At 40.8% G+C, this 25,521-nt stretch overlaps 1 protein-coding gene across 10 annotated transcripts in view; it reads left to right on the top strand.

The window, feature by feature from the left end:
* The window catches only part of DCT (dopachrome tautomerase), a 112,596-nt gene that overhangs the window by 79,331 nt on the left and 7,744 nt on the right, over positions 1-25,521 (top strand). For 5 of the 10 annotated variants that reach the window (NM_001322185.2, NM_001322184.2, XM_011521049.3 and 2 more), the window contains 5 exons: positions 1,031-1,330; positions 3,418-3,518; positions 4,277-4,443; positions 7,887-8,066; positions 9,850-9,985. In NM_001322185.2, coding sequence (NP_001309114.1) covers positions 7,957-8,066; positions 9,850-9,985 — 246 coding nt within the window. In that variant the 5' untranslated portion in view covers positions 1,031-1,330; positions 3,418-3,518; positions 4,277-4,443; positions 7,887-7,956. Of the gene's footprint in view, positions 1-1,030; positions 1,331-3,417; positions 3,519-4,276; positions 4,444-7,886; positions 8,067-9,849; positions 9,986-17,413; positions 17,470-24,314; positions 24,388-25,521 lie in introns of all 10 variants that reach the window. The other 5 variants (NM_001322182.2, NM_001322183.2, NM_001129889.3 and 2 more) reach the window with 4 other exon arrangements.

Raw genomic sequence — 25,521 nt, 5'->3', positions numbered from 1 at the left:
TGAGACAGAGTCTTGCTCTGTCACCCAGGCTGGAGTACAATGGCATGATCTCGGCTCATTGCAACCTCTACTTCCCGGGTTCAAGCCATTCTCCTGCCTCAGCCTCTGCAGTAGCTGGGACTACAGGCATGTACCACCACGCCCCGCTAATTTTTGTATTTTTAGTAGAGACGAGGTTTCACCATGTTGGCCAGTCTGGTCTCGAACTCCAGACCTCAAGTGATCTGCCCGCCTCGGCCTCCCAAAGTGCTGGGATTACAGGCGTGAGCCACCGGGCCAAGCCATGTATTTATTTTGGTTTCATCTTTAGCTTGCTGTGTATTTTCTTCCTTCTCTAAATCAATGAACTGTTCTGTGTCATCCCTTTTTGTGGGCGTGGAGTGGACGCAGGAGGAGACACGCCTGCGATCCTGGGAGGAAGGAGTGTGTGCATGAGTCTGCTACTGCTGCCGTAACAACATCCCACAGACTAGGCAGCTTAAACACTGAAATTCACCCTCCCACAGTTCTGGAGGATGGATGGCTGAGATCAGGGAGTTGGTTTCCTCTGAGGGCTGTCTCCTTGGCTTGCAGATGGCTGTCTTCTCCCTGTGTCTTCATGTGGTCTTCCTTCCAAAACTGTGTCCAAATTTCCTCTTCTTTTGAGGACACCAGTCATATTGGATTAGGGCCTACTCTAATTACCTCATTTACCCTTAATTACCTCTTTAAAGACACTATCTCCAAATATAGTCACATACGAGGTATACTGGGGCTAGGACTTCGGGGACACGGTTTAGCTCATTGCAGTATACAGTGTATTTCATGTCCTGTTTCTTTGCTGGGAATGTGTCTAGGAAACCCTCTAGTGCTTAGTCCACTTGGAGATATAAACATTTAAGAGGAGACCATGGGAGGAAAATTGACTTTCTTTGCCTTTGTGTAAGCACCTTCATCTTCTCTTCCATTCAAATTTCAGAGTACAAATTCAGAAATTTCTTCCAAACGACATAAACCCCCTTCCTTTCCATCTTTCTGTTTTGTGAACTAGGAAACTTTGCCGGCTATAATTGTGGAGACTGCAAGTTTGGCTGGACCGGTCCCAACTGCGAGCGGAAGAAACCACCAGTGATTCGGCAGAACATCCATTCCTTGAGTCCTCAGGAAAGAGAGCAGTTCTTGGGCGCCTTAGATCTCGCGAAGAAGAGAGTACACCCCGACTACGTGATCACCACACAACACTGGCTGGGCCTGCTTGGGCCCAATGGAACCCAGCCGCAGTTTGCCAACTGCAGTGTTTATGATTTTTTTGTGTGGCTCCATTATTATTCTGTTAGAGATACATTATTAGGTGGGTTTTTTCCTTGGCTGAAGGTATATTATTACAGGTTTGTGATTGGGTTGAGGGTATGGCAGTGGGAAGTAATTTCATGCAAGTTAATTAAGAGAGCAACCACAAGGCAGCCTTAGGTTTATGAAAGTCGTAGAATTATCAAATACCGCCTGGAGTTAGAAGGAAGCAGTTTCTTCCTGTGCATTGGATGCAGACACTTTAAATGTTCTCTCCTCTACCGTATGTTCTTGGTTCAAAGTGTAAACTTTTCTCTGTGAAGCTGTTAATCATCAAAGATGTGAGTTGGTGAGGTGGAGGCGAATTCCTTTTGATTTCAGAAGAAAATATTTGCGAATCTGGCCATGGAAGCCCTCTCTGACCTTTTCTCCAAATTAGAGGAATTAACTGAACATGTGCTAAGGCACATGAAGCTTCTTTGTGCGGAATTAGAGTGCTCATGTTGGGAGTGGGCATCTTGTTAAACTCACAGGATAGATCAACTTTGGATGGATTTTAGACAGTCTATCACATGATAGACTTTCAGATAATCATTTATGGTACTCCTGCATGGTCCGGAATCCCCAGGTTTCTTGGAGCTTTATTGTCAAGGAAAAGTACAAGCTTAGCCACAGCAATGTAGAGTTTCTGCTGCTTAGCTCTTTGCAACACAGTCATGTTGGATGCTTGAGAAATTGGTGACCTGCCCTTCCAAGTCTTAAAAATTGGGGGCTGGGTAGGACTTGGAATGAGGGGGTTGTCTGTTACAAACTTCATGTATCAAGTAGGTTCAGCTTTGTCCTTATTTTTCAGTCAAAGGAAAGCCATAGACACCAATGTATTCCAGGAGGGCTTGACTCCATCCTAGATTCTTCCCATAGCAGTTCTTGAATGCATGGCTGCACGTGCACCTCTCCCCATTTTTGGGGTCCTTCATTGGGGTCAGGATGAATGAAGACATCAAGCTCACTTTGAAGAGCAAGATTCTGATTTGGACAGGTTCATCCTTCTGCTCATCACTTGTTCCCCTTCAATTGATACCCTCTCGTTGTTGGGTTCTGAGAATTTGAAACCTTGCTCTGAATTGAACATGAAAAAGGGCCGTGTAGCCAACATCAGGGACAGCAGTGCTTTTCTCAGTGTGAGTCTTTTAAAACTTGCCTTACAGGTAAGCATCTGTCTGTCTTTATCGATAGATAAGGAGGCTCTTTTGGCTATAAACCTTTATAGTTTTCCTGTTATCACTCTGAGGAATTATTGCTTTATGAGAGAGTACTCTCTCAAGAGGAAAAGAAAGTCCTAGTTTCTGGTCATAGCTACGAATTAAATTTATATTCACGTCTGTTCAGCTCTCTGAAGTTGTTATAGGTATTTTGGACAAGAACTAAAGTTAGCTAAAGTTTCCACATAACCATCAAAGCTGTTATGAAAAAGGGAAGAAGGATGGACCAGGCAGTAAGGAGGTCATTAAATCGTCCAGAGCTTTTCACTAAAATTGGCAGTTCCAGTGTCCAGCCTAAATGGCTTGAATGTATTTTTCTCTCTTCTGGTCTCAGCGAACATGCTTGTCAGCTAGTAGTTATAACAGATTGATGGGTGAGGCAAAATACGCGAAAGTTCTTTTTGGTTACATAAATACTGCATTAGGACTAAGTGCAGTTGAAGTTACAATATTATTAATTAATCCCTCCCTTTTAAATTTATATCTTTGTGAAGCATAGGTTAGCAAATGCCTTTAAAAAATATATTTCCTTTAGGTCTTAATGATCTATTCTTTTGGATAGTCTATTTCACCTGAATGGATTGTTGCTTACAAATTAAATATGTATCAGGGGCTCCCAATCCTGAAAGTCACCTGAATTTCCTGGATCTCTGCTAGAAATCAACCTTTTAAGAGATAAAGGAGGGTTTATCCTAAAAGTACTAGTTACTTCTGAAATTCATGTCATTACTATTGCTTTTGGAGATATAAATAACAACAAAACTTTTTTTTCTTACTACTATAAAACATCATGGACTTATTGGCTCTATAGATACAGCCCAGGTAAGATTTAACATTTTAAAAAATTCTATTCTGTCATCTCTAATATGTTTCCCAATTGTTTCAGGACCAGGACGCCCCTACAGGGCCATAGATTTCTCACATCAAGGACCTGCATTTGTTACCTGGCACCGGTACCATTTGTTGTGTCTGGAAAGAGATCTCCAGGTAGGTCAAAACTATGCATTTAGTTCTTTTAATTTTTTAAAAAATTTATTGTATATATTTAAGGCATACAGTGTGAATTTTGATATACTTATCTTGATACTCATACAAGATAAGTGATTAGTGCACTAAAGTAAATTAACATACTCAGCATCACATAGAGATATCTCTTTTTGTGTGTGTGTGGTAAGAGTACCTAAGGTCTACTCTCTTGGCAAATCACCAGTACACAATACAACGTTAACTATAGTCTCAGACCTCGAGTTATTTATCCTACATAACTGCAACTTTGCACCTTTCAGCCTACATCTTCCCATTTCTCCCAGTCCCTTGTAACTACTATGTAACTCTCTATGTATTCACTCTTTTTCTTTTTTCTTCTTTTCTTTAGATTCCACATATAAGTGAGATAGTGCAGTGTTTTTCTTTCTGTATCTGTCTTATTTCAGTTGGCACAATGTCTTCTAGATTCATTCACATTTTGCAAATGGCAGGGTCTCCTTTTTAAAGGCTGAATAATACTCCATTGTACACAGTATATATATATATATATATATATATATATATATATATATATATATATATATATATAAAATATACACACACTGATTTATGTCACAGTTTCTTCATTCATTTATCCATCCAGTAGTCTTTGTCTTGGTAGATATTTGGTTCAGATACATATCAGCCTTTGCCTTGTATGCTTTCTTGTTGTATCTGATGGCATGGATTAAATGACTAGGCCTGCCCTTTGCTTTTAGCGACTCATTGGCAATGAGTCTTTTGCTTTGCCCTACTGGAACTTTGCCACTGGGAGGAACGAGTGTGATGTGTGTACAGACCAGCTGTTTGGGGCAGCGAGACCAGACGATCCGACTCTGATTAGTCGGAACTCAAGATTCTCCAGCTGGGAAACTGTCTGTGATAGGTAATGGCTCCTGTACCTGCAATGGCATCCAGAGATTGTCTTTTCTGATGTCTGAGACATGGAGGAGAAGTCACTTTATAGTGCTGTTTCTTATGCATGTGGTGTCCTATTTACATGTTTCTAAAAACAGTTTTCCTCTGGGAGGTGGGATTTCAAAAATTCAAAGCTCTTTAATTAAAAAAAAAATATCAAAATCACATTTGTGAATTGGTTATGCTTGGCCATCATTTTGAGATCAGGTTAGTTTTATCAGATTAGTGCAAATGTAATTGCGGTTTTTGCCTTTAAAAGTAATAGCAAAAACCACAATTTCTTTTGCATCAACCTAATCAAATTAAGAGTAGTTCTTGCATTCAATCAACATTTGCTAAGCACCAATCATATCCCATGTGATGTGGTACTGCCGGGAATACAAAGATGAATGAAATAAAACCTCCCTTTTGAATATTGTCTTGTATTAACGAGATAGATTTCTTGTAAGTAAATTACAGTTGAGTGTGGGAAGTACTGTAATAGATGTATACACAAAGACAAGAAGAGAGTCTGGGCAAGTCCCCAAGAGGCAGAGATGATGGCTCTGAGAAGGGGAGGGGCACAGACCTGAGGTGTAGAGGAGGGTGAGGGGAGTGTGGGAGGGCAGTGGGTGGGTCCTTGATGGAGGAACATCATGTGTGAAGCTAGATAATTCTCTGGAAACAGCCTGGTATGGCTGAGTCACAGGATGCTGGTGAGTTGAGGAGGACAGGGGCTTGGGGCCAGCCGGGGAAGGATGATCTGTGACATACTAAAGACCATACACAGGTCAGTGGCCTGGCCTGCAGCCCATGAAGAGTTCTGTCCTCAAAGGCTCCTTGAATTTGTTTCTCTGTCCTGGAACACCTGGAACACATTTCAGCCAAAAATTTCCCAAGAGGCTCCTCACCTCACCTTCCTTTATTCATTTTTTTCCTCCAAAATTTGTTTTGTTTTTTGTTTTTTGTTTTTTTGTTTTTTTGAGATGGAGTCTCACTCTGTCACCAGGCTGGAGTGCAGTGACGTGATCTCGGCTCACTGCAACCTCCGACTCCCTGGTTCAAGCAATTCTCCTGCCTCAGCCTCCTGAGTAGCCGGGATTACAGGCATGCGCAACCACGCCCAGCTAATTTTTGTATTTTTAGTAGAGACAGGGTTTCACCATGTTTGCCAGGATGGTCTCGATCTCCTGACCTCACGTAATCTGCCTGCCTTGGCCTCCCAAAGTGCTGAGATTACAAGTGTAAGCCACCTCACCCGGCCTCAAAATCCCCATGTTTTTAACCCCACTGCTCTGTCTTTCGTCCCAGGTCCTTAGACTGCTCCAGGGCACAGAGCTGTGGCTCCCCCGGCCCCCAGGCTTCACTGCCAACACCCTGAGCCTGCATAGGTGTGCGTTTTGAGGGGCCCATGCCCAGCTAGCAGGGACTTCGTCTTCCACATCCTGTACATTTCCTACAGTGCTCAGAACAGTGCTCCACGAGCAGGGACATCATCAGTGCTTTTTCTGTGACTGAGCTTAATTCCATCAAGCGCCATTTCCCACCATACCTTGGAATAGTAGTGGATGGTATGTGAAAAGAGATTTCCGTCATCAAGTAAATTTAGAGAAGGCTGAGTTTAAAAGGTTTTTAAATTTTTAGAATGTCGTCAAGCTTTCCATAGATAAATGTGGTATTCTTTTTCAAGAGGAGCCTAACCCTGGAACTCTTACTTCACCGGACATCCCATTGGAATCCACTTTGGGAAACGCTGCCTGGGAGGCCTTGGAGACCTTTTTCAGCTTAGTGTTTAGGTCCTGGCCTCTTTCATCCCTGTGGATGTGCTGATTATATTCTCACATACTGGGTCCTATCCCTAATTCATGAAAACCCTCACAATAACATCTTTAAATTTTTATCTCTGCCAGTGAAATAATGGTCTGCACTTTGGGAGACCAAGGCAGGGGGATCACTTGAGGCCAGGACTTCGAGACCAGCCTGAGTAACATAGTGAAACCCTGTCTCTACAAAAAGTTTGAAAAGTTAGCCTAGCTGGGCACGGTGGCTCACGCCTGTAATCTCAGCACTTTGGGAGGCCGAGACAGGTGGATCACCTGAGGTCAGGAGTTCGAGACCAGCCTGACCAACATGGTGACCAACCAGCCTGACAGCTCTGTCTCTACTAAAAATACAAAAGTTAGCTGGGCTTGGTGGCATGTGCCTGTAGTCCCAGCTACTCAGGAGGCTGAGGTAGGAGAATTGCTTGAACTCAGGAGGTGGAGGTTGCAGTGTGCCATTGTACTCCAGCCTGGGCTACAGAGTGAGACTCTGTCTCAAAAAAAAAAAAAAAAAAAGTTAGCCAGTAGTCCCAGCTACTGGGGAGACTGAGGCAGGAGGATTGCTTGAGCCCAGGAGTTCAAGGCTGCAGTCAGCTGTGATCATGCCACTGCACTCTAGCCTGTACAACAGAGTGAGACCCTATCTCTAAATTAAAAAAGAAAAACTAAATAAAAAGAAAGAAAGAAATACTATTCTGATGTTGGAATCCAGGCCATAGCAGGCGTGTAGGATATAATGTCTTACGGACATGGGACCTTCTCAGCCCATGCTGAGCACTTAACTATTGATACTCTACTACCTTGGAACATTTTCCAACACAGTGTTTCTTCTAATATCTCCCCTTTGTGTACTTTCATCTGCTTTTACTCTGACCTCCCCGTTTGCCTTCAGTTTGCCTAAAAGGTTTTCGTAACTTTACATGTCACTTCTGCCAAAACTGGCTTAGCTCAGCATAATACGAACCACCCTATTCTCCCTTCAGTTACTCAAGATTCAAATGCACACAATAGGAGTCATCTTGCCTTGTAAACCCTCTCACTGTCTTTCCAACAGAATGGTAATGATTATTCATATTTATGCCCATGTCCGTATTTTGTGCATCTACATTTTTGAAACTTCTCGACCCATAATGACTTTCAGGTATAGTACTTTTTACCACATATTGTTAACTCTGGTAAAGTAATTGTAATACAATTTTACCATGATTGTGACCCTGATTGATTTGCTTGGCCCAAATTTATAATACTGTACATAAGTTAAGACATATCATTTTTTGTTTTGGGGGATTTTTTTTTTTTCTTGAGACAGGGTCTCACTCTGTCACTAAGGCTGGAGGGCAGTGGCATGATCTCTGCTCACTGCAGCCTCTGTCTCCTGGGTTCAAGCGATTCTCCTGCCTTAGCCTCCTGAGTAGCTGGGACAACAGGCACACACCACCAAGCCTAGCTAATTTTTGTATTTTTAGTAGAGCCGGGGCTTTGCCATAGCTGGTCTCAAACTCCTGGCCTCAAGGGATCCACCTGCCTCAACCTCCCAAAGTGCTGGGATTACAGACGTGAGCCACTGTGCCCAGCCAACATATATTATTTTAAATCTTATTACAAATCTTAGCTTGGATGACTACAACCACCTGGTCACCTTGTGCAATGGAACCTATGAAGGTTTGCTGAGAAGAAATCAAATGGGAAGAAACAGCATGAAATTGCCAACCTTAAAAGACATACGAGATTGCCTGTCTCTCCAGAAGTTTGACAATCCTCCCTTCTTCCAGAACTCTACCTTCAGTTTCAGGTGGGTGCTCTGAGCTCTGCTGGACCTGCCTGTACAGTACAGGTTTTCATGCCTGTGATTGTAAAGAACTGGAAGGAAACCCAGGTTTTGGGGGTTGTCTACGAAGCTAAGTGATGGAGAGAGGCCTAACGAGAGAAGTTAGCAAGGGATTGGTGTGAGGAAAGTCTTTACCCATCTACTATGACTAACAATGTGGTTTTAATACCTTCTAACTTAGCTGTTCAAAACCAACTTTTGTATTTCTAATTGCAGTACATTAATAGGTCCAGTCTTTGGAAACAGGGTACTTCATTAAATATAGTGTTTTTTCAATGTCCATGCTCTTTCTCTTTCCTTTCTTATTTTTTAAAATGTCGATATTAGAAATTTATCAGCCATAGAACTTAATAGTGAGGTCTGAGATCTCAGAGGAGTATTGCAGACTAAATTCAACTCAAATCATAGCACAGCAATGACATTACAATACTTAACATTTAAAGACCAACTATTAATCTTCCACCACAGGTTGGGCATGGTGTTCATGCCTGTAATCCTAGTGCTTTGGGAGGCCAGTGCGGGAGGACTGCTTGAGTCCAGGAGTTTGAGACCACCTGGGCAACAGAGCAAGACCCTGTCTCTACAAAAAAATATAAAAAAGTAGCCAGGTGTGGTGGTATGTACCTGTAGAGGTAGGCCTAGAATTTAAGCACATCTCAAAATCACCAAAGAAAAACACATGTTTCATGCCCTGCTCCCAGAGTTTCTGGTTCAGTAGGTGTAGGCTGTGTCTTAACAACTTGCATTTCTAACCAAATCCCAAATGATGCCAGTTAAGGTGGTCTGAGCACTGCATTTTGAGAACAACTCCCCTAACTCAAACATATAGAAAATGCAATCTGTTTTAATAGCACTTTTGTCACAATGAAAAACTAATTCATCCTCCTTTTCAAAACAACCTTAAATGTTACCCTTCCCCCACCTTTGACACTACTCTGAAGGCTGTGTCCAACCTCAGCAGACTGAGCCATGCTACACTTAGCACAACCTCTACATTTGAGTCCAGCCTGCCCTGCCCTGGGCCCATACAAATTGTCTACTTTAAACACAGTTAAGAGAGAGAGAGAATCCAGTTTTGGAGAAGATCTTTAATCTATCTACCATCCCCTTTTTGGACCCATCTTTGTTTAAAGTCTTATTTATAAACATATTTCTCATAATTCTTAAAGTCTTTCTATGGTGGTAGAAAATTTTTTTCTTTTTTCTTTTTTTTAGAGCCAGGATCTCACTGTGTCACCTAGGGTAGAGTGCAGTGGCACAATCATGGCTAATTGTAACCTCAAACTCCTGGGCTCAAGTGATCCTCCTACCTCAGCCTCCTGAGTAGCTGGACCTTCAGTCAAGCTGAAGGTCTATTTGGTTGAGAAATATAAATATCAGATTATATGTTAAATAAAAGAATTTACTGATCACAGACAATCTGCTGGGCATGGTACTGAACCCTGGCAATAAATATCTGAAGAAAACATAGAGCCTGCTCTCCAAGGGAATGAGAGACAGATATGAAAGTTGTCATACAGTACACAAAAGAGATATAATTCAGAAATAGCGTTGCTTAGGAGTTCTCTCCCCTTACAGAGGATTATCATTAAAGTTTGGGGCAAATTCTTGGTCAATTTGCTATGACAGAGCTTCCCATATCCCTACCCAATCTCAAATTAGACAACTATTATCTAGGCTGAAAACAACAAAAAAGAGACCTTTATCAGTCTTTGTCTGTTGTCACTGATATACTTGTTTCTCCTAGGAATGCTTTGGAAGGGTTTGATAAAGCAGATGGGACTCTGGATTCTCAAGTGATGAGCCTTCATAATTTGGTTCATTCCTTCCTGAACGGGACAAACGCTTTGCCACATTCAGCCGCCAATGATCCCATTTTTGTGGTATGTTCAAAGATTCAGAATGCATGAAAATTTTCTAGATAATATGTCAGATTTATTTTTTCATACAATTAATGTTTGATGGTGTTTTATTCTCTGTGTGAACAATGTGATGTGTGCAAATGTAAATTAATTTCAATCTATACCATAGGGATGGTTAGGTAGCATTTGAAGGCCCTAATCAGAACCCATGCTTCAGGGATGGTTCACTTTTGGGTGATCTTAGACAAGAGTTTACAATTCCACTGGTGAATTCATAAATTAGCATAATAATAAATGATTTTTCATTGGCTAAGTGAGTATTGTTGAGGTTCAGTAGTCCACACAAACCACCTTCAATGTGTTACCTGCAGGAAAGAGAGGTTCTGTTAGCCAGAAAAGGGGAGGAGAATGGAGAGGGTGTGCTGGACACTTAAACCTCCTACTCCAACTTGAGTGAGCTTTACTTGAGAAAGAAGAAAAGCAGCACCTGACATCCAAGAGCTGGCCTGGTGAAATCAACCAGGCCTTGGTGTCCCCTGTTGGACATAAACAATCTCCTAGAACATCAACAGCAGACAAGGCCACTCTGATCATGGTGGATCAGGACAAAAACAAGACTACTCCATAACTGTGTCTAAGCACAGACAAATTATGAACATTTTCCAAGCCACAAGATGCATGACATCCCCTTTCCTGGCTAATAGGAGCAAAAAATGACAAATGCCTTCACCGATGGCATTAATACAAAAACTCACATTTGAGGCAATTTAATTTGTTAATCTGATTCATACCTCTGACATGTAATAATACAGACAGTAAATAGGATTGCTGTTGACTGTGCAGGAGCCTCACAGTTATTTAAATTTCAGTGTGATGAACTCCTTTGGTATATCAGTTTGATTTCTGTCTCACTTTAAAACAAAAGAAGAAAACTGCCAGGCATGGTGGCTCATGACTGTAATCTCAGCACTTTGGGAGGCTGAGGTGGGAGGATCACTTGTGCCTAGGAGTTCAAGACCAGCCTGGGCAACATTATGAGACCTTTTCTCTACCAAAAACCTTTACAAATTAGCTGGGCATGGTAGCATGCACCTGTGGTTCCAGCTACTTGGGAGGCTGTGGTGGGAGGATCACTTGAGCCTGGGAGGTCGAGGCTGCAGTGAGCCATGATCGTGCCACTGCATCCCAGCCTGTGCAACAGGGTGAGACCCTGTTTCAAAAACAAAAACAAACTGAACAAAACTTGACAATAGGATTCTAAATTTTACAATTCTGAGCTTTTTTAGTGTTTGTTTATTTGTTTGTTTTTGGAGACAGAGTCTTGCTCCACTGCCCAGGCTGGAGTGCAGTGGTGCTATCTGGGCTCACTGCAACCTCTGCCTCCTGGGTTCAAGTGATTCTTCTGCCTCAGCCTCCCAAGTAGCTGGGACTACAGTTGCACGCCACCACGCCCGGTTAATTTTTATATTTTTACTAGAGACAAGGTTTCACCATATTGGCCAGACTGGTCTCAAACACCTGACCTCCTGATCTGCCCACCTCAGCCTCCCAAAGTCCTGGGATTACAGGCGTGAACCACTGGGCCCAGTCTTTAGTTTTTAAAGTATATTCATCCCCTGGTGAACTTTTCTAAGACAAACAAAATGGGGAAATACGAGTCAGGGCTACACTGTTCAGCTACCCTAGTCAATGCTCTTCAGTCTGTGACCTCTAGGAACACAATGTAGTTGAATACATTGGTCTGTTACTCCTTGCAGGCAGAGAATGGAGGACTGTGGAAAGTCTCAGCCAGTGGGTGTTGGAAAAGACAGAAAGGGTTTGGGCTTGTGCTAGGTGATTTGGGGAGGACTTTTGGAAGCTTTGCTCTGAATCAGATGTTGTCAGGAAGCAGGGGTATGCTTCCTGATTCTATGAGTGGGTATCTTGATAGAGTGATTATGTCTGTATATGGGGCAGACTAGACTGAGGTTAAAGCCATAATTGGTAAAACAGCAGCAGATGCTCATATTAGCCGGGAAAGGGGGTGTCACGCATCTTGCATCTTGGACAATGTTCATAATTTGTCTGTGCTCAGACACGGTTATGGGGTTTTCTTGTTTTTGTCCTGATCCGTCATGGTCACAGAGTGGCCTTGTCTGCTGTCGATGTTCTACGAAATCGTTTATGTCTGATAGGGGGACATCAAGTCCTCGTTGATAGCGCCAGGCCAGCTCTTGAATGTCAGGGGCTGCTTTTCTAAGTACAGGTCACTCAAGTTGTCATAAGAGATTTAGACAACATACACATTCATGTCTCAGCAGCCAATCCCCAAAAGTGCTCCTGCTTTACAGATACGCAACTCACCCTCGTCTATTTTAACCCTGTCTGTGTGTCTTCTGAGTTGTATGTCTTGAATAGATAGTTTTGGAGCAATTACAAGAAGAAATTTCACCTCTTCTCCTTTTTTATTTTGCCAGTATTTTGAGTTTATATTGTTATCCAGTTAGATTGTGTGATATCCAAAGACTCTCTGTTTTTCTCCAGAATTTTCCTCACCTTAATGTTAATCTTAGCAATGTGTCTTAGTCTGCTCAGGCTGCCATAATGAAAGACCACAGATTGGATGGCTTAAACAACAGAAATTTATATCCCACAGTTCTAGAGGCCAGGAGGTCTAAGACCAAGGTGCCAGCTGATTTGGTTCCTGGTGAAGACTCTCTTCCTGAGCCTTCTAGCTGCATCCTCATATAGTGGAGGGAGAGAGAGAATAAACTCTCTGATGCCTCCTTTTATGATAACACTAATCCAGGGCCCTATGGTTCTGACCTCATTAAACCTTAATTACCTCTTTCTAGGCTCTATCTCCAAGTATAGTCACATTGTGGGTTAGGGCTTCAACACACAGATTTTGGGGAAACACAGTTCAGTCCAGATATAGCATTTATAATGCATTGTCAAACCATCAGTTTATAGAAGTTTGTTTTTCTTTTCTTTTTTCTTTTTGAGACGGAGTCTCTCTCTGTCATCCAGGCTGAAATGCAGTGGTGCAATTTTGACCCACTGCAACCTCCGCCTCCTGCGTTCAAGTGATTCTCCTGCCTCAGCCTCCCGAGTAGCTGGGATTACAGGCACGTGCCACTGCGCCTGGCTAATGTTTGTATTTTGAGTAGAGACAAGGTTTTGCCATGTTGGCCAGGCTGGTCTTGAACTCATGACCTCAAGTGATCCTCGGGCCTCGGCCTCTCAAAGTGCTGAGATTATAGGCGTGAGCCAATGCACCCAGCCAGAAGTTTGTTTTTCTGGACTTTTTGGAGGCTTCATGACTGATTACAAGTCAATCAGTTTTACTTGATACAGACCAGGGCAATCTTGGGAATGTAATTGAACCACATGGAGCTTCTGCTTCCCACTCTGCAAAGTGTGGGTCTCTTGACCTGATCTGGTGGTGAAAATGTTGTTCTCAGTGAAGTGACTCTTAGTAGATTAGGACAATAGGAAACTGGTCTAGAGCCCGTCAAGTACAATACAAATGTTATCATAACAATAATAATGTGTTTTATAATGGTCAGAATTAGAGAACCATATGTTAGGTTTAGATTTTCAAACCTTAATTAATATTTCTTATCTTGTTCTCCAAAGCAGACAGTAATGCCCTAAGACATTTTACTAATAAGCACAAAGTCAGAAGTATTTCACAGGTGATTTATTATTGTTACTCAACCCAGGGTACAAAAAAAGGAGCTATGAAGAGGGAGAGTAAAGGTATAGCTTTCAATGATTCTAAGCTTGCCTGATGGGTGTGAAGTAGCTTTCTGGGGCTCCTAGATAGATTAAAGCATAGTCAGGTGAGCTTCAAGAAATCCTGAGACGGAATTAGTTGGTAGAGTTGTTCTTTCCTTCTAAAAAATGTTTCTTTCCTCATATTTGCATAGTAGCAATAAATGAAGGGGTTGTCAGAAGTCTGAATTAATGGTCCCAGCCTCTAACAAGGTGGGGGCTTATCTGTGACGCCGCCACAGCGATCTTTGCTTTTCTCTAGAATGCCTGCTTTGTTCAATGATTTTAACTTGATAGTTCACATCATTTTTTCTGGCTATCGTCTCAGCCATAGCTTATGCCAAGCATTTCTGGTGTCTGCTTTCTCAGCCATGTATCTGTACATCTATTTATACTATACGTCTCTAAGTATTTATTAAAGCATACATTGTCAACTGTACAATTTATACACACAATTCATATTCATAAGGAAAAATGTCATAATACTCCTTATCCAGTACTCCAATATGTTATAAGTAGAACAGTGGAATCCTCTGATAAATTAAGGATTATACCCCAACTCTTTCTCTCCTATTAAAAATGATGCTAGTAATTTGATTTTCTGCATCCCAAGTCTCCAGGATTGCTAAACCGTATCTCCTTCTTTTGAACAAGCCTGCTAAGTGGACAGAAATTGGCAACATTTTTCTGTAAATAGCCAGGTAGCAAATATTCTGGGCTTTGGAGGCCAGATGTTTTCTGTTGTAACTACTGAACTCTGCCCCTGTATCATGAAATCAGCCATAGATCATGCATAAACAAATGAATGTGGTGTTCCAATAAAACGTTATTTACAAAAACAGGTTGTAGGCTCTATTTGGCCCTCAGGCTTTAATTTATCAACCTGTGGTGTAAAGGATTCACTTTTCTTCTTTGTATTAGTTTGTAGTAAGGATAGTAGGAATCTCTCTCTCTCTCTCTCTCTCTCTCTCTCTAAGAGACAGTCTCTCTCTGTTGCCCAGGCTGAAATGCAGTGGCATAATCATAGCTCACGGCAGCCTCAAACTTCTGGGCTCAAGTGATCCTCCTGCCTCAGCCTCCCAAGTAGCTAGGACTATAGCCACATACCACCATGCTCAGCTTTTTAAATTTTTTATTTTTGTAGAGATGAGGTCTTACTATGTTGCCTAGGCTGGTCTCAGAACTCCTAGCCTCAAGCAATCCTCCCACCTTGGCCTCCCAAAGCACTGGGTGAGTCACCATATCTGGCCTGTAGTAGGGATTTCCCTTTAGTCATATTTCTCCTTCTGCTTTAGGGTGGAAGCTCACATTGTGACTTGATGGGTGAGAAATCCCGTGGTTCAGAGATATAAGACATTTAATCATCTTTGTGTTCGTTGTTTCTAATGTGCTTAATGTTAAAATTTTATTTTTCTTTAGTAGTATGTGTAATATACATATAAATAAACAAAAAGCCACAGCGTTTCTTTAAAGGCACAGAATGAATAATGTTTTGGGCCTAGTTCCAGAACTCACCATTACTTTAGGCTATTTTCAAAGAGTTTTATGCTGAAGCCAATTCAGCCTTAAATGATTTTTCACATATTGAGATCCAGGTTAAAGTATTTCAGTTAACAGAGTTATAGCTTCTGGAATTTCAAATTCATGAGGCAATTCATGCAAATATATTGCACATGACATTTATTAAAATTTTTTTTGTGAAATCTCTCCAAGCAATAGAGCTACAAAATTGTATGTGATCACAATAATGAGCAAAAGAAGGCAGAACATTAAAGTGCAGGAAAAACTCTGAAGCAATCTCTAGTAATTCCTAAGGTAATTGAGGCAAATGCACACATTTATCATGGAAAATAAGATTAGGCCAGAGAAATGCTAAGTGCTGTCTTCAATATTAAATTTAGATATAATCCAGAAAAGAGAAAAAAAAGGAAACCAACAGACTGTAAAGTTATTTAAATGCCAAGAAAGAAACTGTGTTACATAGTGGTAATTTCCTTCCCAATTCCTAAAGATACTATTCTTAAGAGTATACTTGGATGTTATCCTTTTAGAAAGTACATTTGGTGAGTTCTACGTTCCTTCAATTCATCAGTGGCTGGGGGGTCCATAGGTTCCATAATTAATACTAAACAGCTCGTGCCTGTTTTCTACCTTGTACGTTGACATTCTAAATGGAATACAACATACAGTAGTCTTATTACTAATCAGTGTATAAAATAAGTTCATTAATTTAGAAAATGTGCAGCAGGAGAAAATGAATTTCTAAAACCACACATAGCTGATGGACTACCATAAATTAACCCTGTAAGAAAGAGCCCTTCTGAGTCTGCTGTTCTAGGCTACAACAAAGTTAGTGAAATCAAAAGCTCACAATTACAGGTATAAATAATTCTGAGTTAGAGTGAGTTTAGTTGAAATTTAAAAAAAGAAGGATAGGTGTATCAGTCTGTTTTCATGCTGCTGATAAAGATGTATCTGAGACTGAGTAATTTATAGAGAAAAAGAGGTTTAATGGACTTACAGTTCTATGTGGCTGGGGAGACCTCACGATCATGGTGGAAGGTGAAAAGCACATCTTACATGGTGGCAGCCAAGAGAGAACTTGTGCAGGAAAACTCTCATTTATAAAACCATCAGATCTCATGAGACTTATTCACTATCATAAGAACAGCATGGGAAAGACCCACCCCCATGATTCAATTACATCCCTTCCACAACATGTGGGAACTGTGGGAGCTACAATTCAAGATGAGATTTGGGTGGGAACACAGCTAAACCATATCAATAGGGCATTGCTTTTTTCTTCCCAAGAGTGAAACATTTAAAGATAGATCCATTTTGCTTTACTTTAAATAAGAAAAATCATAATTAGACTAATATTGTAAAAAAATAAAATAACATTGTTGTATGTGAAATTTTTATTTTTATTGGTTTATGATTTTTATATTATTTATAATTACAGAAATGTTGGTGAAAATAGTTTTTAAATGCCTGTAATTCCATCTCAATTTTTTTGTTTATTTCTTTTCATATTCTCATATGTTTTATACAGTTGCAATTATAGTCATCCCTCAATATCTTGAGGGAATTAGTTCCAGGACCCCCCACCATGGGTACCAAAATCTGTGACTACTCAAGTCCCTTATATAAAATGGCATTATATTTGCATATAAGGTACGCACATCCTTCTGTATACTCTAAATCATGTCTAGATTACTTATAATTGGATTCAGAGGACCATCTCTATAAGGCACCTATTATGTATAATATCCCATTATCACTTAATTTATTTAATTTTTAGGTTGTTGCATAGTTTTCTAAATTTTTTCATCTTAAAATCTTAGTGCACATAAAAGATTCAAAATATAAAATGTATAAAATGAAGTCCGTATTATCACTACCATCTTCCAGCAAACAATACAATTTTTTTCTAATTTTCCAGATATATTTTATAAATACACAAACAAATATGTTTATATATTTATCTACATGGTAGCATATTATAGACCCCTCTGTCCCTTTGCCTTTCCCCCACTTTTTTTTTAACTTATTCCAAATCATTTCAGTTCTGAAGGGCATTCTTATTCTTTTTTTATAGCTGTATAGTATTCTTTTGCATGGATTTATCCTGAAATGTATTATTTTAATTTTAAATTTAAGATTTTAAACTATTTTCTGTTGATGGACATTTAGGTGATTTCTAATCGTTTGCTTTACAATGCTACAACAAACATCCTTGAACATGTAAGGTAAGTAAAGAGAATAGAATCCCTGGCTTAAAGGGTAAAAAAATGCATTTGAAATTTGATAAATGTTACAGAATTGCCTCTAGAAGTTTGGACAATATTCCCTCCTAATACCTGTGTGTCACCTATGTGTCAGAGCCACAGTTCCCCCATCATTCCCTCTCATTATGCTCTTTGTCCCTGTGTCATCACACTTTTTCATCTTTGTCAACGTGATAGGTGAAAAGGCATTTTAGCAAATTTTAATTTGCATTTCTCTTCTTATAAGTGAAGTCTAGGCCAGATGCAGTGGCTCACGCCTGTAATCCCAGCACTTTGGGAGGCTGAGGTGGGTGGGTTACCTGAGGTCAGGAGTTCAAGACCAGCCTGGCCAACATGGTGAAACCTTGTCTCTACTAAAAATACAAAAATTAGCCGGGTGTGGTGTTAGGCACCTGTAGTCTCAGCTGCTTGGGAGGCTGAGGCAGGAGAATCACTTGAACCCGGGAGGTGGAGGTTGCAGTGAGCCAAGATCGTGCCATCGCACTCCAGCCTGGGTGACAAGAGCGAAACTCTGTCTCAAAAAAAAAAGTGAAGTCCAGCATCTTTTCAGACATTCAAAAAGAAAAAATCCATTTGCACCTCCTTTTCTGTGATCTGTCTTCATAACTTTTGTTTGTGATCATGACTTCTGGAAAAAGAAAAAAAAAACCCTAAATATTCAAAAAAGTCAGAATTAGGGAAAGTAATTCGTCCTCTGTGTGAGTAACAAAATACAACATTTTCTTTTAATATTTTATTTTCCTGGAAAACCTAATAATCTGGTCATGTAAAGATGTATTTTGTAGGTTTTATTAGTTTATGGAAAATGAATGTGATCACTGAAAACATACTCAACCTCTAGAACAGTACCTGACACTTAGTAGATGTTCTGTACATTTTTGTGAGGAGAATGTCCTATTATTGTACATCTATTCTGTGATGGCCCCTATGCGAGATGTCTTGCAAAGCTCACCTCTTAAATGAACAAATCTGTATATAGTAAACTACTCTCCTTGTTTTAAACACAGGGAAAATACAGTTTAGAGAGGCTAAGAAATGTGTCAAGGTCACACCAATCAGTAAATGGCTGAGCAGAGATTTATAAGAAAAGTTTCCTATTCAAAAATCTCCCCGTGTTCAATCTTTCAACTACAATTTTGCCTTTTGTCAGTTTAGACAATTCTTAACTCAGTCTCTTCACAATTGCATTCACTATAGCTGAGGAAATTAAGTCCCGTTAGATCATATTAATAGGAATTAACACTAATTGGTGAAGGGCAGATCTGACTAATTTTGCACAGCTTTTGAAATGATAGTCATTGCTTTCATTGTGAGCATGTATTTATGCTTTTTAAATGTCACATTTACTTATTCAATACTAGTTTTTAAATAGCAGGTACACAGTTACTACCTCCTAAGTGGCATAACATCTTGATGAGTTTTATAAGAGCTGAGGAATCAGAGAGGGTGGCTGGACCCCTCTCTGGTTCCCCAGGGTGGCAGTGTTTCTATGGACTAGGCTGGGGGCTGGCTTGTTTTCTTTAATTTCACAGGTGCTAAATGTCACCTGAATGGATTCTCTTCAACTCTAGAATTTATAAGGATAAATGCATACTATATTGAGAAGAACTAAACCTATGAATTACATCCAATTCATTCTGATAAAATATGAATATAATAACAAACCACAACTTACATACAAATCTAAGATGGTTCTAGCATTGAGTTGAGCAACTCTCTCCTAGAGTTTTCATGATTGTTTAGTCAAGAATGGCCTGAGAGGTAGCTTAGTCTCTGTCTAGAATCTCTTCTAGCATCACCTTGGTTCTTTCTCCAATCCGTAATGTCAACTTATGATGCATGTTGAACTGGTCACTTCTTTTAAAGTTGACCTAGCAGAGTCTTTCTGTAGTCCTCTGCATCTGTTCAGAGTTTAATTCTTGAAGAAGAAGCTTTTTTTCCTCAAGGGTTTAGAATCAGCATTTCTAATTCTCTCGATTTTTTTTTGTATGTGTGCTGTTAGAGCTTGTATACAATGTATATTGTGTACATTTTTACACACATATAGTATACAAGGCTATTATACAAGTCTATGTGGGAGAATGTGTTCCTGATATAACTCCTCCAAAATGCCTGAGAAATACTCTCTGTTTTGCCTGCCCAGGGTGCTATAAAAGAATGGATAGGGAAATATAGGGAGAGAAAATTATAGCACCATCCTTGCTGCGCCCTGCCTGGAAGATGCTATTATTGCTCCAATATCTTTTTTTTTCTCTTCCGTGGTTGTGTCCTAGTCCATTCAGGCTGCTAAAACAAAAATACCAGAGACTGGGTGGCCTAAACAACATTTATTTCTCACAGTTCTGGAGGCTGAGAAGTTGAAGATCAAGGCATTAGCAGATTCAGCGTGTGGTGAGGAACTTCTTCCTGGCTCATAACGGCCATTTTCTTGCTTGTCCTCACGTAGCTGAAAGGGAGGAGCTCTCTGGGTCTCTTTGGTAAGGGCACTAATTCCATTCATGAGAACCCCATCCTTATGGCTTAATTATTTCCCAAAGGCCCCATTTCCTATTACCATCACACTGGGAGTTAGGATTTCAAAATATGAATTTGTTCGGGGTAGGGCACACACATTGAGTCCATAGGAGATTGTTTCTCATCAGTCACTGAAATATTCTCTCTGTGTAGTACCCACCTCCTTGTGGCAGAGCTTAGTTAATTAAATAAAGGCTTGGGTGTTGTTTAACTATTTCATGCCTATTACATATGGCCTATTTAGGGCAGTGTGAAACCAGCATCCCAATTACATTTGTTTTCAAATCTTTGGTAGAACAAGACAAGATATTTCCCTAAAATAGCAAGCCTGATGAAATATATTTTTTAGGAATGACCATTAGGAATTCTCTCATTTAAAAAGTCCAAACCAACCTTTTAATGTATACCTTCTACTTTAAGTTTTAAATTAGAGTTCCCATATGGACCTGTGTGTGCTTTTATCTGTCATGTGGCTTTTAAGTGATCACATTTGAATTGTCACTTAGTTCTGACTCTCAGAGGACCAGAGCAATAGCATGTCACCACAATAGGATCCAGTCTGATGACAAAGGATGCCTTCTGGGCAGTAACACATGAACTCAAGTGGTGAAAGCTACACTGTGCTGGTCTTTAATGATGCACACACATCTTTGCAGCCGGCCTCATATTTCCATGGTTCTTTCTCTAGATGCAGAAACTTTTCTTATTTCATCTGTGTGGTGGGAATCCAAATTTATAGTCATTTAAGCTAAGGCCCTTTGATAGTAACTTTATCCTCCAATGATCTTGAAAAAATAATGCACACTTTCTTGTATTTTATTTTCTTTATGCCTGCAGGTGCAATATTTGTTGGTTGATTACTTTCTCCTGCATGGGTTACATGAAAAATCTTTACCTTGAAAGCCCATGTAATCACATTTTTTTTTCCATTATGGCCTCTACTTTGAAATTTAGTGTTGTTTTTTTTTTCCTTTTCTGTACCTATCCTCATTTTGTTGGAACAAGACAGAATAGGTTTATATGCCAAAATTCGGAACCTCATTTCTGAAGTACTCAGTTTCTAATACCAAAACGTAGCTATGTAGCCCTCGAGCAGATGAAAGGCACCAATGATACAAATTTATTTATTTATTATTATTATTTTTTTTTTGAGATGGAGTCTCACTCTGTGGTCCAGGCTGGAGTGCAGTGGTGCGTTCTTGGCTCATTGCAGCCTCCACCTCCCGAGTTCAAGTGACTCTCCTGCCTCAGCCTCCCGAATAGCTGGGATCACAGGTGCACGCCACCACACCCAGCTAATGTTTTGTATTTTTAGTAGAGATGGGGTTTCACCATATTGGCTAGGCTGGTCTCGAACTCCTGACCTCGGGTGATCCTCCCACCTCAGTCTCACAAAGTGCTGGGATTACAGGTGTGGGCCACCATGCCCAGCCCAATGATACACTTTCATTTAACTTTTGCTTTTGTTTCCTACCCTCAAATGACATTTGACCCTTTACAGAGATATTAACTTGTATTTAACATTTTTAACTTGTATTTAACAAAGATACAATTAGTTTTTCAAGAGCAATTCAAGGTACCTTATTGAGGAATAATGCCCACAATTTTAACAAAACTACCTATTCCGTAGATTGTACTACTTCTCTTTTTAGCTTGTAGATATGTTATTGCTTGTAGCATTTTGTTCATTGGATGCTTTGCATTTTCTCAGCATGTACCAGTCTTTTCAAAAAAACTTACATTCTATAATTTGGGTACTCTGTATATAGTTCTTACTAGAGCTTTGTTGTTGTTGTTGTTGTTGTTGTTGAGACAGTATCTCGCTCTGTCACTCAGGCTGGAGTGCAGTGGCACAATCATAGCTCACTGCAGCCTTGACTTCCAGGGCTCAAATGATCCTCGCATCTCAGCCTCAAGTAGCTGGGACCACAGGCACACACTATCACACCTAGCTAATTTTTAAATTTTTGTAGAAATGGGGTCTCACTCTGTTGCTGGGGCTGGTCTCGAACTCCTGGGCTCATGTGATCCTCTTGCCTCAGCTTCCCAAAGTGCTGGGATTACAGGCATGAGCCACTGTGTGCAGCCTTACTAGAGCATTTATTGTATGTTTTATAGCCCTCCTGAGAGCTACAATTTCAATTCCTCCTTATTATTTTCCCCTATTCTTTTATCTCTCCAGATTACTAATTGCCTTAGGATCTTGCCTTCTCCTTTATTATTTACATTTTTCCCTTGGTGAATTCTGATACTTTCTATAAGTTATTTGCCTCTTACAGCACTGATTCTGCATCTTCCTTGTGTCCTGATAGTCTCTTGTCTCTTTCTGTCATCACAATTTGAACCCTGACTTGAACTCAGACAGTATCTAAAAGTTCATGATTGGTTTAGGACTCATAGGTCAAAGTATCCTCTTTCTGCATTGTTAAGATTGGAGAATATGCCTTCAAAATCAATTTTTCTTATTCTAGTTGGTCCTGAAGGTTGTACTACAGTGTGGTGGTGTAAAGCAGGGGTCCCCAACCCCTGGGCCATGGGCCCATGCTGGTCTGTGGCCTCTTAGGAACTGGGCCACACAGCAGGTGGATGGTAAGCAATTGAGCATTATCACTTGAGCTCCGCCTCCTGTCAGATCAGCAGCATTAGATTCTCATAAGAGTGCAAACCCTATCATGAACTGCACCTGAGAGGGCCCTAGGTTGCACACTCCTTATGAGAATCTAACTAATGTCTGATAATCCAAGGTGGAACAATTTCATCCTGAAACCATCTCCCTTCCCATCCACCACCCCCTGGTCCGTGAAAATTGTCTTCCTCGAAAACCAGTCCCTGGTGCCAAAAAGGTTGGGGACCGGTGGTGTAGAGGAAGTAGAGTATGTGGATTAGGAACTCTCACTTTAGAACCAGACTTCCTGGGTTCAAATTCTTACTCTACCATATATTAGCTGTGTGACCTTAGGCAAGTCACTTAACACTTTTGTGCCTTTTATTCCCCATCTGTAAAACAGGGTAATAATGTTATGGGTTGAATTGTCCCCCACAAAATTCATATGTCAAAGTCCTAATAGCTAATAACTCAGAATGTCACCTTGTTTGGAAATAGGATAGCTGCAGATATAGTTTATTAACATAAAATGTCATACTGGAGTAGAGTAGGTCCCTAATCTAGTGTGAGTGGTGTCCCTATAAAAAGGGAAAATTTGGACATAGGCACCTGCACACAGGGAGAACACTGCATGAGGATGAAGATAGAGATCTACAAGGCAAGGAATGCCAAAGATTGTCAGCAAGGCCCGAGAAGGTAGGAGTGAGGTCTGGAACAGATTTTCCCTCACAGTGCTTAGAAGGAACCAGCCCCACTGACATCTTGGTGTTGGACTTCCAGCTGCCTAGAAGCGAGACACTGTCTCCAACCGTAAGACAAATGCCTGTTGTCTAAGCCACCCAGTCTGTAGTACTTTGTTACAGCAGCCTGAGCAAACAAATAATATCCACCAAATCAGGCTGCTTTGAGGATTCAATATGTCATTTTGGGTAATTGAGCAAACACTAATAAATACTCACTAATTTACTTATCAAAAAGTGCTAGGCATGTGCCACATGCATTCCTAAATGCCCAGCTCCTCATTGGCTATATGTACAGTGTGTGTGATTTCAGAGGTGCTTGCAGGCCCCACCCACCTGCAAAATGCGAATTCCATCATTCTTCTTCCATAAGTCCTTGTCCCAAGTTAAAATAATAATAGTACTGATGGTATAGTCATAGTGATAACAACCATTGAATAACCATTTCCTACAAGAAAGGTGCTGTGTACTAGGTACCTAATATATATTATCTTCCCTACCTTCTCAGTGCCATGTTATTGGTGTCCACTGTTGAGGTTTACAGACCTCTGTGATCCTGGATCATCAGCTCCACAGGCTGTGTTTTATTCATCTCAAGCTGCGTCACTATCCCCGTTTCACCACCTCTGCCTTCTCATTCTCTGTCTGGATCTCTTAGCTACCCTCCCACCCAGGGGGCAGCAGTGTGGAGGAGAAGTCTCAGGCCTGACATTCCATCTGTTCTCCTTCCTGGAACCCAGAGGGGGCCAGGAAAAGGGGGTGGCATCTCTAGCCCCCCAACACTGAGGAAGAATGGGGCTCTTCCCATTTCACCCCGCCCCCCCACAGTTTCTCCCCTGCCTCCAGGAATGGGCCACTTCTGCATGGGGCAGCGGGTCCCAATTCAGCTCACACTGAGAATGTAAGAACTACAAACAAAATTTCTATTAAATTTTGTGTCTCAACAGAAAAGAGAAAGCGACCAAGGAACTCCCTTCCCTGCATGTGCTGGTAACCATGAGCCTGGGAGGCTCTACTCAGGTTTTTTTCCTTTGTTGTGTTTATCCATTTCTGCATAACAGATTACGATTACCCAAACACTCAGTGGCTTGAAGGTGACCATTTCATTTCTTACCATTTCTGTGGGTCAGGAATTTTGGAAGGGCTTGACTAGGCAGTTCTAGCCTAGCATCTTTCAGTGCAGCTGCAGTCAGATGGTGATAGGTGTTGGAACAGCTGTGGACTGGCCCGCTATCTGTTTTTCTTCCTGAAATCTTGAGCCTCGCCATCATGGTCACTCTATATGAGTTGGTTTGGGCTTCTTCACAGCATGGCTGCCTCAGGACAGCTGGACTGCTTATTTGATGGTTCAGGGCTCAGGCACAAGATAGGAACTGCAATACACTTTATGATTTAACCTTGAAAGTCACAAAATGTCACTTCTGTTGCATTTTATTGGTTATAAAAGAGTCAGAAACTCACCAAGTTTCAAGGGAAGGCCAGATGAAGCCAACCTTCAATGAGGGAGTGGCAAGATTCTAGAAAAGCATGTTAGTCAAGAAACAAACATTGTGTGGCCTTCTTTGGAAAATATATTTTTGTATATCCCTAGACACTGTTTATTTGCACAAACTGTTTATGTAAATAAAGATGCATGACACTGTCATCAGCCAACACATACTTAGTAAATATTGACTCTGTCCAGGTTGTATGCTAAGCTTTGCACTGTATGCAAAGTGTCTGCATGACACTGTCATCAGCAAACACATAGTTAGTAAACATTGACTCTGTCCAGGTTGTATACTAAACCTGAGACTTCAAAGGTGAAAAGTCCTTATCTTAGACCTTAAGGAGTTAGGATCTTGTTAGGGGACATAGATACATAAATAACAAGTTATAGTATCATTTGATCAGTGCTATAAATGAGGTACAAGGTACAGTGGTGAATGGAGGAATGAATACACTGAATAAGTATTTACTGAAATAAGTACCTCCCTTTCTCCATATGAGACACCCTGGGGTGACAAGCTCTGGGGATCCAGGGGGAATGAAAAAAGGACACTGCCCCTGAGCTCCTTGAACTTACCATCCAGGAAGGAACAAGGAACTCCAACAACTGCCATCAAGGTGGGACTGAACTCTCAAACTTGTATCATGTTACAAAATCAGGGCTAT

Source organism: Homo sapiens, chromosome 13 (genome assembly GCF_000001405.40).
Source record: "Homo sapiens chromosome 13, GRCh38.p14 Primary Assembly".
Taxonomy (NCBI): domain Eukaryota; kingdom Metazoa; phylum Chordata; class Mammalia; order Primates; family Hominidae; genus Homo; species Homo sapiens.
Note: the sequence above shows the minus strand (reverse complement) of the source record. Positions and strands in the feature narration are given on the sequence as shown.